The sequence below is a fragment of the Homo sapiens genome, chromosome 9, assembly GCF_000001405.40.
Source record: "Homo sapiens chromosome 9, GRCh38.p14 Primary Assembly".
Classification (NCBI taxonomy): Eukaryota; Metazoa; Chordata; class Mammalia; order Primates; family Hominidae; genus Homo; species Homo sapiens.
In genome coordinates this window covers 114,411,629-114,426,205 of record NC_000009.12, presented here as the reverse complement: position 1 = coordinate 114,426,205, position 14,577 = coordinate 114,411,629, and the positions used below count along the sequence as shown (strand labels likewise).

Genomic DNA, 14,577 nt, shown 5'->3' with positions numbered 1-14,577 from the left:
GCCACTCTGCTCGCTCCAATCTCCAGACCCCAGGGCCATTTCTGAAAGCCAGTGATAGCTGCCTCCCATCCCTCCACCGCCCTGGCTCTCCTCTCAGCCTGCAGTCCCCACACCAGGGCCCTCCATTGGCAGGACATGACCTGGGCACATCCCTCTCCTCTCTTGGCCTCAGTTTCCCCATGGAAAGCTGAAATACACCATCCAACTGTCTCATTCTTTATTTGTCCCCAAATTACTTAACTCATTCTATAGACCTTAGTTGCTTCATCCAAAAAGTGGGGACCATAACCCTGCCCTCATCCCAGATCTGTGCAGATGAAAGAGAGGGAGGGAGAGGGAAAGAGAGAGATGCTTTGGGGTGTATTTGGCCAGAGGCCACCAGGCTGGATCCCATGAAGAAATCTGGGTGAGAGGGTCTTAAAGTCATAAACTGAGATCCAGTTGCCAGGTGGCTGCATAGTTGCCAACAGTGTAATGTGTCACCTTTTGATCTTCATCAGAAATCTCAGGCTGGTGGCCACCTGGCCAAATACACTGCAGAGCATGTCTGTCTGTCTGTCTGTCTGTGTCTCTCTGTGTGTGTGTGTGTGTGTGTGTGTGTGTGTGTGTGTGTGTGTGTCTCCCCCTTCCCTTCCTTTCACCTGCATAGTATTAAACATTTTCAAAGTTACTTGCCAACATCTAGAAAGATACCAGGTTTTCTATAAAAAAAAAAACTGGATTTCTGGATGCTTCTTAAAAATCAGGAAGTCTGGCAGCCTGAGCCCACATCGGCTGGAGCTGAGCCGCACCTGCGAGTTGCATCTGGGATCTCCAGTTCACCGGCCCCTAAGCTCCTGAGGGTTGGCCTGACCCTGAGGTTGCCTGTCAATCACCATTTCTTCCCTCCACTCCTTGTGTTACCTGCCTGGTCCTGCGGGGTTGGCAACAACTCAGGAGCCCACCTCGGGTGGTTTTGGAGGTGCCGTGCACACTGCTGATTGGGAGGCTGGACGCTGCCAGTCTGTCCGGAGTTTCCTTTACCCCTGAGTAGCCCCCAGACTGAACTGGCAGCGAGTGGAGGCCACGATGCATGGTTCTCTTGAAGCTTTGCTCTTCCTGCCCCAAGTCACCCTGTCCCTTGCCCACGCCCATTTGATCTGCTCAAATGCACAACTGGAGATGTGTGTCTTTCCCCACAGGTTTCTTGGCGATCTCACAACAGAAGGAATAAACAAGGTAGGACATCCTCTAAGGGGTATTCTCTGCTTCCTCACAGCTCCCTGAGTGAGGAGGTCTGGCCAGCCAGAGGGTGCCGAGTGACTTACACTACCTCATTCCAACTGGGCAGCCCCTTATCTGCCCACCCCCCAGCCCACTTATCTGTGACTGACTGCTAGGTTCTGGGCACTACCTCTGGCACCAGGGTTGATGGCAATGAACAGAGCAGACCAGGTCCCTGCCCTCATGCGGGTTTTACTCAGTGAAGGAGATGTAAAGACAAAACAAATTCTAATTAAGAAAGATAGTACTATCAAGGCAAGGTGCTGGGGGTTATGAGGGAGAATAACAGATGAAACACCACACTTAGACAGGATGGAAGGGCAGAGGGGGAGTGGCATGGCCACTCAGCTCTAGAGCAGCTAAGAATTCCTGGGCTTCTATCTTTCTGTCTTGCAGCCAGGATTTTACAAGGGCCCAGCCGGCTCCCAGGTGACCCTGAGCAGCCTGGGGAACCAGACACGAGTGCTGCTGGAGGAGCAGGCTCGGCACCTGCTGAACGAGCAGGAACACGCCACCATGGCCTACTACCTGGATGAGTACCGTGGTGGCAGCGTCTCTGTGGAGGCCCTCGTCATGGCCCTGTTCAAGCTGCTCAACACCCACGCCAAGGTGACCCGTGCCCTGCCTCCCAACTGGCTTCAGCATTTCCAGGGCTCTGCATCCTGCCCTGCCCCCGCTCCTTTGCTGAGAACCTACAAGGGGTCAGGCCTGAACTGAACACTGGGCAGAGACCTGGGACTGAGGCAGCCTCCTGCCCCCAGGATGCTCACAGACTCCTGGGGGAAACAGACATTTAAAGCGCCCTGTGATTGGGTCCCTGTCGCAGTGGCTTCCAACGCTGAGTGCACAGAATCACCTGGATTGCTCTTAAAAGCAGTGCTCGGGCCCCATTCCAGGCTGGTTAACGCCTCATATCTGGGGATGGGAGCCAGCTGTCAGTCATCTTCACAAGCCCTCCAGGTGACTGTGCTGTGCCACCAGCTTTGAGAACTCTGCTCCAAACTGTTTGAGGTCCAGAAACTGTACAAAGGAAGAGGTGGTGAAATCCACTGGGAGGGGTTATGTTTCGGAAGACTTAACAGAGGAAATAGGATTTGGAGATGAGTATTGGAAAGGGTATTCTGGGTGGAAGGTTCAGACAGCCAGAGGCTTTGTGGCATGAAATGTTGCAGTGTGTCCAGGGAGTCACAGCTACATGTGCTTGCTGAGGAGATGACAGGGAAGCAGGAGTGAGATGATGCTGGGCCTGGTGTCCAGGTGACGGTGTTTGGCCTTTCTCTTGAGAGCACTGGGGAGCCAGACAGTTAAGGAGGGGAGGCAGGGTCAAGTTTGCATGCCAGTCCTTTGGGGGTAGCAGGGCCCCTGTTCCACCTTCTAGTAGCGCTCCCTGCTGAGTGCCCCTTTTGTCCCCGCCTCCAGTTCTCACTCCTCTCTGAGGTGAGAGGCACCATTTCCCCGCAAGACCTAGAACGCTTCGACCACCTGGTGCTGAGGCGTGAGATTGAGTCCATGAAGGCGCGGCAGCCCCCAGGCCCCGGGGCTGGGGACACCTACTCCATGGTCTCCTACAGTGACACGGGTTCATCCACAGGCAGCCACGGCACCTCCACCACCGTCAGCTCGGCCAGGGTGAGCTTCTTCTGCCTTGTCCCTGGCTTAGTAGCCAGGGCAGAGTTAAGATGCTGGCTTTGGAGTGAGACCAGCCTGAGTTCGAATCCCAGCACCACCACTTACCAGCTGTGTGCCTTGCCTCTCTGAGCCTCAGTTTCTTCCTCTGTAAAAACCTAATAGTTGTTGAATGTCTACTGCATGCTAGGCATGGGCTCTTGGGGACAACAGGTGAACAGGAGAGATGTGGCCCTGCCTCCTGGGGCTTGCAGTCTGGGAAGCTGGGGGAGAAAGGTTAAAAAAAAAAAGTAGGTAAATTAGGCAAATAGAAAAAGATCATTAGAATCCTTGGGAATGCCTCTGGCATGGTGCCCACTCCCGCTGGGCACTCAGTAGATGGTAGTGGGCATGGTAACTTGGACTGTGATTTTTATTTTCCCCAAGAGGCCACCCTTTTGTCTCTGGAGCCCAAGCCCAGTTTGACTTTCTTTTTGTTTTTCGAGATGGCTTCTTGCTCTGTCACCCAAGCTGGAGTGCAGGGGTGCAATCTTGGCTCACTGCAACCTCCACCTCCCCAGTTCAAGCAGTTCTCCTGCTTCAGCCTCTTGAGTAGCTGGGATTACAGGTGCCTACCACCATAACCAGCTAATTTTTGTATTTTTGGGTAGAGACGGGGTTTTGCCATGTTAGCCAGGCTGGTCTCGAACTCCTGACATCAGGAGATCCACCCACCTCAGCCTCCCAAAGTGCTGGGATTACAGGTGTGAATCACCATGCGTGGCCCCAGCGTGACTCTCTTGCAGACTCACCAGCCCCCCAGCAAAGCATCTGGCCATCTCAAGATATGGTTCTGCCCCCTGGATGCTTGGAGGCAAATGAATCCCAGGAGACGTTTGCAAGGAAGGAGCAGGAGCATATGCATTGTTACCTGTCTTGGGAAACAACTGGTTATTAAGGTCCATGCAGTGGAAAAGTCAGGGCTGGAGGTCAGGAGAGCTGGCTTGGCCCCATGCTCTCCTCTATGCCCTTGTTTCTCACCGTTAGGTCATTCATCACCACTCTTCTATGGAAAGGCAGTGGGGAGAGTAATGTTTCTTAAGCAGGCGGTTGCTCCCAGATGCTGAACTGAGAGCTCTTTCTGGAGGAATCTCAGACTGGAGGTAGATACGGTATTAGCTGTCTTGTTAAGTGGGAGAGCAGGAGCTCAGAGGTGTGCAGTGATGGCCATGGTTATAAACACAGATGGTTAATGAGTGAGGATGAGCTTGCAGCCACCAGAAAATGGCCCAGGAGCATGCACCCTTCTCTTTTGCAAGCTCCAACTCCTAGTGTGGCTTTTCTTTAGCCCTGGGATTCTGGGTTTCTGGGGGTGATTCCTTTATACTCTTTTACCCCTATCCCTCCCATCCTGAGTTGCCATCATTTCCAAGGGTGCTCATCCCCTTCCTGGGATGTCCCCACAAGTCGCCCTGCATTCCTCTAGGGCTGGACATGGCTGCAGCAGAGGCAGTTCCATGTTCTGGGACAAGCAGATCACTTCTGGGGCAGGGAAGAGGCTGTCCTTCACCCCAGGCTCTGAGCACATACTTTGATATGGCATTTAGGTGAGGATCTGGTTTAAGGGTGCAGGTCCTTGGCCTGATGACTGTTTCTCTCTAAGATAGGCTCCACTGAGATTGGCCTTGATAATGTTCAGGCCTCAGCAGCCATGAGCCACTGCTCTAAAACCTGGGAAACTGCAGACTGTGCTTCTACAGTGGTCCCTTTAGAATCAGAGATGAAATATCCAGTGAATGGGGTGGGATGTGTTTTGGTCTGGGAGGCAGGAGGTCTAGGTTTGAGCCCCAGCCTTTCTGGTCTTCAGTTTCTGGATAAAATGGCCTGGGGTCCTTGCTGGCTCTGACTTCAGCAGCCCGAAGCCCTGAGGGCAAATCAGGCTGGAGTGCCAGGAGTCAGGTGACTATCTTGCCTGGCAAGGGCTCTGGGGCAGGGGTCAGGAGCCCCCAGCTCGGCACTGGCCCACAGCAACCTTGTCCCAGCTCAGGGGGCTCTCCCCTACCTGAGAAGCACCATCTGGGGCCAGTCCAGATCCCAGCTGTGGAAGTTGGCCCTGCTCTGCCAGAGGGGCTCTCACTGCAAATTGGGGCACCCTGGGGAAGGCAAGCCTCAGAAAGGCCATAGGGTGGTTTTATACAGGGAGTTTTTTGGGACAGATGAAAAGAGTGGTCCTAAAGGTTTTCCCCAAGTTTCTGAGGTGGGAAGGACTCAGAATTTGTGACTGTGAAAGTCCATGGCCCACCAGGTGGCACATGCATGTCAGGATTAGGACTCTCCTAGACCAGGGTGAGCCCCTGGAAGTGATTCTAAGAGAAAATTGTGCAAGCAGGAAAGGCAGCGTGGAAGGGGCACTTGAGCTCGCGGTGCCTTGATTTCCTCTTTTGCAGAGGGACAGTGATACTACTTCCTCCAGCTTGTTGGGAGGATTAAATGAGAGGATGCCTGTGGGCCCAGGGTGAGTAACCTGCTAGTACCAGCATCCCAGAAATGCTGGCCACACCCTGAGGGCAGGTGAAGCCTCGGTTCTTTTGGACCCAGCCCACCTGGCTGGGGAAAACTACCTGGAGATTGTACCCAGGGCCTTGGGGACTCGTGGAGGGTCTGGAAAGTGCTAGGCTGAAGGACTGCCACCGCCCCCCTGACCTTCATCCCACCCAGGTACCCTCCACATGCACAGTCCAGAGCTCCCTTCCACAGATTCAGCTTCTCTGACATCACAGGGCTTGGGCCTCCCTGAAGTCCAGGCCTTCTCCAACCGAGGCTTCCAAACAGGGCCCTCCTTGAAGCTCTGCATTTCATTAGCAGGTGTGACCTCAGACAATTCACTTCCCTTCTCTGAGCTTGTTTCTCTCTCTGGGAATACGGATCCCAGCCTCGCCCCAAAGTAAATGACTGTCTCCTGAAGGCCCTTTAGCAGGGACAAATGTCTTTTCTTTAGAGCAGTGGGGACTCGCCTGTTTCCTTCAAGGAGGCAGGCAGAATGAAGGGATGCTGGTCATGGCAGTGGGGTCTTTCCCTCCCCTCTCTCCATTATTCCTGCCCAAAGCATTCAAGGTAAATAGAAAAGGGGTTTGGAGAACGTGTGGATTTTGCATGTGTGTGTGCGCGTGTGCATTTGGGGAAGGGGTTGTTGCTGCACCCACCCATTCCCTAAATATTTATTTGATGTATCTTTTCTTTTTGCCTTTTGCTCATCCTTCCTCCCCAGGAGCGGCTGCTGTGGCTTATAGACCTGATGGAGGTACCGTCCTTCCTGCCGGTGGGGACTGTGGGAGTCCCTTAACCAGGGGCCGGGGTAGGGGGCTGTGGCCTTTTCTGCCACCCCCGTATGTCTGCACCCAGTCCTGGTGGGGACCAGGGGTTCTTATTGGTGCTGACTGTCTTTCCAGGTCATCAGGTTTCCTGAGCTCTGCAGTGAGAATCCCGTCCATTCAAATCCCAGCTCTGCCACTTTCTTGCTGTGAGACCTCAGGAAGTGGTTTCACCTCTCTGAGCTCAGTTTTAGGATCTGTAAAATGAGGATGGTAATTTCTGTCCCGTGATGTTGAGAGACCCCTTGGCCTTTGCATATGCCATGTGCTTTCTGTCTGGAATGTTCTTCTCCCCACTTCATATGACCTGACTTTCTCCTATGTGTGCTTCAGCCCTCAGCTCAGAAGCTGCCTCTTCCAAGAAGACTTCCCTGATCCTCCCAAGGGGAGTGACTTTCAGGCCACGGCTCCTCTTGCCCCCGGGCTTCCTTTGGTCACAGCTCTTGCCTCATTATGTCCTATTATAAAAGCCTGTACAGGTTTCCCAGTTACCCAATGTGACTGCTGACTGCTTGAGGGCAGCGATCGCACGTGCGGTTACCATTGAGTCCCTATCCCTAGTGCTCAGCACAGACCCTAGCCCATAATTTGGGCCTTTATTAATAACAATAGTGGCTGAGATTTGTTGAATGTTCTCTATGACACTGTGGTAGTGCTTTCCATTCGTATCTTCTTTGACCATCCCAGGAGCTAGGAGTTGTGAGTACTGCTGTGATCCCCATTTTACAAAGAAGAAAACCAAAGCTCAGAGAGGAGAAGCAACTTGCCCAAGGTTGCATGGCTAGTGAGTGATGGAGCCAGGATTCAAACCCAGGCTTGCTTGACTCTGAGCTCTGTTGTTACCCCTGCCATCTGGCTGTGATTCTTCCCTGAAGGATCTCACCAGCTCCCTGTTAAGCATCATTTCGTCATCTATCTGCCTCTCTCCTCCCTTCCTTCTTCTTGTCCTTCCTTTCTGTTAACAAATATTGAGCATTTACTGTGTGCTATGTACATTTTGAGGTTCTGGGGATACAGTGGTGAACACCAAAGAAATCCTTTCCACGATGGAGTTGAACAGACAGCAGGAATGCCAGGCAATAACACAGGATATAGATAACTGAAATACACAGTAAGCTAAATGATGACAAGTGCTAGGGAGAAAAATAAAGCAGGCAAGGGAGACTGGAGAGGGGTGGGGTGGTTAGGGAGTGACCCTTGAGTCAAGACCTGCAGGTGGTGAGGGAGAGAGCCATGCCAACATCTGGGAGAAGAGCATTTCCAACAGAAGCAGCTGCATGTGCAAAGGCCCTGAGGTAAGAGAATGTCAGAGAATTCCAGGCGGCCAATAAGGCCAGAGCAGAGGGAGTACGGGGGCAGACATGCTGAGGACTTTGACTCTGAGTGAGATGGGAGTCCTTGGCAGGTAAGAGCAGGGAACTGATGTGGTCTGACTTCGATTTAACAGGGTCCCCCTGATTATTGAGAATAGGTAAGAGTGGGTTTGTACCAAGGTGAACTGGTTAATTCCTAGGAACCAGCCACACCCAGAGGTCTGTGGGCCACGAAGGGCCTGGGAAGGTCATGCAGCCTGAGTTGCTAAAGATGTGATGATGGGTTCTGCAGGCACCAGCTCCTCCTGTGGCTGGGTCAGCCCCTGCCCTGTTGTCTCCTGGGAACCCCTCTTCTCCCCACCCCCACACACAGCAGGTCTCAGATTGGAGGCCCTTTTGCTCACCCTTCCTCAGGAGCGACTGCCTTTTGCTCACCCTTCCTCAGGAGCGACTGCTGTGGTTTATAGACCTGATGGAGGTACCACCCTTCCTGCCGGTGGGGACTGTGGGAGTCCCTTAGCCATGCACACCCATGTTGGCTGCATGTGTGGCCACAGGACAAACCTCCTCCACGTGGAAGCCCTCCTGCAGAGTACGCAGGGCACTGGGACCCATCCTAGGAGTCTGGACCCCCACACCGGTACTCCACTCTGTCTCTCCCAGGCAGTGTGCTCTCAAGAAAGCCCCTCACTCACTCTTGGCCTCAGTCTCCCCATCTGTACAACCACGGAAGACCCCCATGGCTCCTCCAGTTCTGAGAGTCTTCTCTGCATCAGGAGGTGCTGGAAAATATTTGGGGGAGGCACAGCAAGGAATGACAACTCTATATTCCCACCTCTTCTGTGTATATTTGAACAAGGACTGCAGCATTCCTCCAGAGAGAGAAAGAGCTTGAAATAATCACCTTTATTCACCACTAAGTGCCGCTGTGTGGTCTACAACACCACATATTAGTAAGCTTTTGCTGCAGTAATGCTGAGTAATAACCCTAAAATGTGGACAACAACCCAAAACATAACATGGCCAAAATCCCTTCCTGCATGGAGCTCACACACTCCTCATACCTCTGCTAAATCACTTGTCACATTGCTTTAACCTCTTCGTGGGTTTCCCTTCCCCAATAAACAGCGAGAGCTGGTGCAAAATGGAGGCCCAGAAAGTGTGGAACAGAAACTGGAAGGAAAGCACACACTCCCCGGCCACTTGCAGGATTATCTTCTACTATGCGGCCTTCTAAACATTCGCCTCCCACATGGTAGGAAAATGTTCTTTGTTCTAGTGTTCAGTTGGGCAAGATGACATCAGGTGGCTGGCTATCGATGACCGAGATGCCCCAGACACTGGCCCCAAATGGAGCCAGTTTCCATTTAGCCTGAATTCCTCGGATCATGCTGTGTGGTTATTGATCCCAGGTTAAATGTGGCTCATTCTGCAGCCATTTCCCCTCAAAGCAGACACAGTCAATCAAAGGAAATCAGATCCAGCTTTCCCCCATTCACAAACTGTGTTGATTTTCCATTTGTCTAACAGAGAGCCAGCCCTGAGCATTTTATGCTGCCTTCACACAATATCATTTCCCCCATAAAGATGTTGGCCGAGAGAGCAGAGTGAAAGAAGAAAGGCCTGCCTGTTATTTCTTGAATTCTTCATCTAGTGCCAGCATGCCTGTGGCAGAGGGGCTTAATTGCACAGATTCTGGGATCCTACCAGCTGGGTTCTGCTTTCCAGAGTAGTAGCTTTGTCACCTTGGGCAGATGACTTGTGTCTTCTGGGCCTCCATTTCTGCATCTGTACGGTGGGCTGATAAGACCAGCTGTCTGGGTTGTTCTGAAGATTCAGTGAGATCAGGAGTGGATATGCAGGTGTGGAGTGTGGAGGAGCCCATTCTGTTTCTACTCCAAAGGTTGGAAAAGGGCCCTGTATTAATCCGTTCTCACACTACTGTAAGAAACTGCCTGAGACTGGGAAATTTATGAAGAAAAGAGGTTTAATTGACCCACAGTTCTGTAGGCCGTACAGGAAGCATGGCTGGGGAGGCCTCGGGAAACTTAAAATTATGGTGGAAGTTTGAAGGGGAAGCAGGCACATCTTACATGGCTGGAGGAGGAGGAAGAGAAGGGGGAAGTCCTGTACACTTTTAAGCAACCAGATCACATGAGAACTTACTCACTATCACGAGAACAGCAAAAGGGAAATCTGCTCGCATGATCCGATCACCTCCCACCAGATTCCTCCCCCAACACTGGGGATTACAATTCAACATGAGATTTGGGTGAGGATACATAGCCAAAGCATTTCAGGCACTGCAGAGCATTGTAGAGAAAAGGGGATTGGAGAGGTCAAGGCCAGCCTTGTACTCAAGGAGCAAATGCCCTTGAGGTCAGGTGGCAGCAGCTGGGATTTGCCCTGGACTTGACCTCAGGCTTTTTCCACCTGGATTTGAGAGAGTTTGTGCTCCAGCCCTGTCATATGCCTGGAAGGAGGCTCCCAGCCCCTGCCCAAGGATGCTGGGGACAGGATCCCTGCCCCTGAAGGCCTTACTGTCCTTCTTCCCTCCTCTTGTCCCCCAAAAAGAAGGTGAATAGGGGGCAGTAGATGTGGCTGTCAGTGCTTCTCTGCATTGGCCTCCTTCTGTGGCCTCTGTGCCTCCCTCCTTGTCTGCAGCACAGTGAACTGGGAGAAGCTCAGGCTTGTCTCAGGCCCCTCCAGCTGCAGGGACCCCTCACTGTCAAACCAGCTTTTTTTTTTCAGAAACAAGTAGAAAACTGTCAAAGGGCCTTATTTTTCCTCCTGCATCCTGACTTTGGTCCAACCTGGATGGTTTAGAGAATCGTTCTCCATCCATGAGCGGGGTAAGAGAGGAACTCCATGTATTCCTTCAGTCATGCGTTCAGCCACTCCTTCTTCTATGCAGCAGCCTTTGTGGAGCATCTCCTGCCTGCCAGGGGCTGAGCCTGTGCTCTTGAAGCTGATCAAGTCCAGTGGAGGAGGCTACCTCAACTCAAATCATCTCCATAACTCACACTCTGATAAAGCGGGCTGAAGGGTGGTGTGAGAACATACATGGGCCCCGACCAGTCTGGGGTACTTGGGGAGAGAGGTTGAAGCTAAGATCTGAAGTTGTTGGCTACAGCCAGGCAATAGATGAGGTGAGACAGCTGAGGAGCTGGTGGGGCATGTCTGAGGGCCCTGAGCAGGTTGGCACATGGCCACTCAGAAGAATGGAAGGAGACCAGTAGGGCTGGAGTGTCAGGAGTGAGGGGTAGAGGGGCGAGGGTCAGGAGCGGGAGGCGTTTGTGTTTAACCCTAAAACCATGGGATACTCTGGAGAATCTTGAGTAAGGATGTGATGTGATCCTGTTTGTGTTTTTTTTTTTTTTAAGAGATAGGGTCTCTGTTGGGGTAGCTCACTACAGCCTTGAACTCCTGGGCTTAAGTGGTCCTCCCACCTCAGCCTCCTGAGTAACTGGGGCCACAGGCGCACATGCTCCCATGCACAGCTAATTTTTACATTTTTTTGTAGTGATGGGGGTCTCACTATGTTGCCCAAGCTGGTCTCAAACTTCTGGCCTCAAGGGATCCTCCCGCCTTGGCCTCTCAAAGTGCTAGGATTACAGGTGTGAGCCACAGCACCCAGCCCTCTGTTTACATTTTTTAAGCTGCCTCTTCTGTGTGGAGAGAGCCCAGAGGTGCAAGGTGGATGCGGGTGACCAGGAGAGGCTGTTGTTCCTGTCCAGATGACCTCCTGTCCCCCACCCCAGGAAGCTGCTGAGTGCCCAGAGAGGGCATATCGAGGATGATAGGTGTCTTCTCCTTGAGTAGAAGAGCCCACTCCATCCCAGGGAGGCCTCAGCATGTGCCCCCTGCACCTTCCAGAATCATCAGTTTGCCCAGAGGCATTAAAGCCTCTCAGGCCGGCCACAGCTTTACCTGGAGCCTGAATAGGACCATTCCTCTCAGCCAGTGCTTTGCTGTCTCTGTAGCGGTTTATGGAACACCTGCCTTCCCCTGTGACAACTTGGGATTGCTGGAAGCTCTTTCCACCAAACAGAGCCAAGCCCATGGAGGTCAGAGCCTGTTTGAACATGGGCTGGCCCCAGCTGCCCTCTGAGTGAGGACTTCCCAAGCTATCAAAGGGGAACTTGGACAAAGCACTGACTTAGGACTGGGGGTCTTCCTCATTTCTGTGCCATAGACCCCTCTGGCAGGCTGGTGAAGTGCTGGGACCCCTTCTTAGAATAAAGCTTTAAATGTTTAAAATAAAACACAATACATAGGATGACAAATTACATCAGGAAATACCTGATATAATTTTCAGAATATGAAAACACAACGTAAAACATGCTACTTTAGGACAGCAATAACAGGGTTGAGCAGTGAGTCAGTAACTGCTGTAACTGTGAAGCCAAGAAGTGCATAAATGGGATTTTGTGACATCTGTAGCAGCTGGAATGTGACGTGAAAGATCAGTGCTCTCTGTGGGTGACCATGACCAGTTCCTCTGAGGCTTTGTTGCTTCTGTTAGCAATGAAAGGAAACGTGGCCTTTCAGTTAGAGGTTAATGGAAATGAAGATGTAACAGTTCCCCCAGCCAAGTTCTCGGGTGCCTGCATTCCCTCCCAGGAGCACTGGTTTCCAGCCTTATCCTGAGGGCTCTGCTTGCCTTAACCTTCTAGAGATTCTGGGTCACTCTCTCTTTCCACTGACGTCCTTTTCTTAAGACCACAGGGAGGGAGGCGTGGAGCAGGTTTCAGCTTAGCAGGAGGAAGCCTGGTCTGTTCAGCAGGGCACAGGCCTGGTTACAAGGAGGCAGTGACTTCTGCCCCATCTCAGGAAGGCTTCATGCAGAAGCTTCCCAGAGAGCTCCCTAATGTTGTGATTTGGTGGTCAAATATGATAGCCAGAATAGACAGGCTGGTAGAAAAGCACAGTGCTGGCCCAGTGTTGAGGTTGTTCTTGTGATCTCAGCCACACCAGCCAGTGCGGGGCCCAGTTAGCTGCTTTCAGGATTATTTCTCTCCCATTCTGCACCTCTGACCTTTCCCTTTGGCCCACAGACTTACACCCCTACCCTGTGCTTGGAGAGATTGCAGGTCCAATGATTCCCCGTCGCCACCTGCATGACTGACACTTCCAGGGTCTTGTCCCACAAATCTCTGGCTCCCTGGCCCCTGACCCTTCACTCTGGGGAGCCCCACTGCCCCCCAGGAATGCCAGGACTTCCTGGCTCTCCCTGGCTCACATCCCTGTCCCTCCATCTCCCTACCCCCGTAGCCTTTCCTGGGATCACAAGCTCCTCTTCCCAGCCCAGCTCTGGCCGTGCCACCGGACTTGCCCTGCTCTTTTCTTTGCTTCTTCAGTTTCTCTACATTGCTCTCCGCCTGTGCCTTTTCTGCTGAATCTTCTGTTTTCTCTCTTTTCTGTTATTCTCCCTCTAATCTCTTTCTCCCTCTGCCTTTATCTCCCTTCCTGTCAGCAGCCCCTTCAGGCAAAATCTAGGCCCCCACTGGCGAATATCCAGAGGCCTTTGTGACTCAGTGCCTCAGTTTCCCCACATACAGAATGAAGAAAGAACCACTCAGCCTTAGGCCTCTGGTGCATTTTGGGATGGGAGTTGGGGGACCCTGTTGGCTTGACAGAAGTACAGAAGCCCAACGAACAAAGAGCTGGAAATAGCACCTTTATGTAACAGCCCTCCCATTGTAATGAGGGGAAGGAGGCCTAGAAACCCGGAATTGGGCTGAGGGGAGGAGAAGGGCTAGGAGGGAGAAGCTGCATTTTGCTGAGGTGGCCCCGCAGTGCCCAGGCAGCCTCAGGCTTTGACATCATGCAGGGGAGCCTTACCTGCCCCTGAGTCCACCCCGCAAAGGTTGCCCCTCTTCATTTCATCCCCTTACAGTTCCCCAAGACCACACTTCTGTGATACCTGGGCCCTGATTGGGCCAACTCAGGAAATAAGGGGTTCTTTTCTCTGAAAAAAAGGGAATTTGCTGAACTGCCACAGGTTTGAGGAAGGAGGTGGAAGAACAATGACAGCAGGTCATCTTGGCTCTTATGGGAAGCAGGTTTTTGTCGGGGATATGGAGTCGGGCCTTGAATAGAGTTCAGCTTTCTGCCCTGTCCTTGCTGTGTGACCTTGGACAGATGACCTTCCCGCTCTGATCTTCAGTCACCTCAGCTGTAGAGTGGGTGAAGGGTCCCATCTGGCAGGATTAATGGAGCCGCCAGGTCTATGCCCTCACTGAGGCTCTGGCCTCAGTGGGTACAGGGGGAGGGGGCCCAGGTGGCTGTGATTGTGTGTGGGTGGTGGTGAAAGTGAACAGGCCCAGCTCCTGCATGAGCTCTGACCTTGAGCCTCCTCTGGAAGCCTGTTCCGCAGGCATTTCTGCTGATGCATCCCCCGGGTTCTTAGCCGGCTGTCTGCAGCTATTTCAGATGCATAAGGAACATGGCTCGGGGACTTGGGACTCCTGAGCGTCTGGATTCAGCAGATGGAGTCTGGCAGGGCTGGGCTCAGAGGGCTGGGCTCCGACCCGTCTGCCATTTGCTCCACTTCAGGCCTCCCTGACAGGGCTGGATATTCATCCCTCGTCTACCCCTCACCCTCCCAACCCTCCACCTCCACCTGCCATGTCCCCAGGATGCAGTTAGTAGCAGGGAATGAGGCTGAGGACAGGGCCAGCTATGGCTGCCTTCTCTCTCATTTCCAAGAGGGTTGCTCATGGGGGCCTCAGGTTCCTATGACATCAAGGCCCTGTTCATTTCTGGGGTTGGGACAGTGTAGTATGGGCGTTGGGGTGACCCAGACCTGGGTTAGAAACCTTACCTTCTGTAGAACGGTCAGATGACCTTGGACAAGTCTCTTCCCTCTCTGAACTTCAGGTGTAATCGATGTGACAAGGGACAGTCCTAGTGCCTGCCTCACAGGGTCATTGGGAGGATCAAATGAGATAATATAAGTAAAACACCCAGCACGGGGCCTGGCGCACAGTAGGTCCTTTGTAGTTCTCTAATACCCTTTCTGG

General features: G+C 52.6%; 1 protein-coding gene across 30 annotated transcripts in view, besides 1 other annotated feature; it reads left to right on the top strand.

Moving 5' to 3' along the window:
• Positions 1–14,577, top strand: part of WHRN (whirlin) — a 103,394-nt gene that overhangs the window by 79,268 nt on the left and 9,549 nt on the right. For 8 of the 30 annotated variants that reach the window (XR_929757.3, XM_047423165.1, XM_047423164.1 and 5 more), the window contains 3 exons: positions 1,182–1,218; positions 1,660–1,872; positions 2,683–2,892. Coding sequence is in view for 22 of the 30 variants with exons in the window: in XM_047423165.1 (XP_047279121.1) it covers positions 1,182–1,218; positions 1,660–1,872; positions 2,683–2,892 (460 nt within the window). In the remaining 8 variants the exon portion in view is untranslated. Of the gene's footprint in view, positions 1–37; positions 1,219–1,659; positions 1,873–2,682; positions 2,893–3,915; positions 4,117–5,315; positions 5,384–6,136; positions 6,170–6,317; positions 8,808–10,303; positions 10,405–14,577 lie in introns of those variants that run through there. The other 22 variants (XM_047423168.1, XM_047423166.1, XM_047423169.1 and 19 more) reach the window with 14 other exon arrangements.
• Positions 4,401–4,901: an enhancer, noted in NCBI's record as "H3K4me1 hESC enhancer chr9:117183585-117184085 (GRCh37/hg19 assembly coordinates)". NCBI's record gives its function as "activates a minimal SCP1, AML or CMV promoter by ChIP-STARR-seq in primed H9 embryonic stem cells {active_cell/tissue: H9 hESC(primed)}" and the evidence as "EXISTENCE:reporter gene assay evidence [ECO:0000049][PMID:30033119]".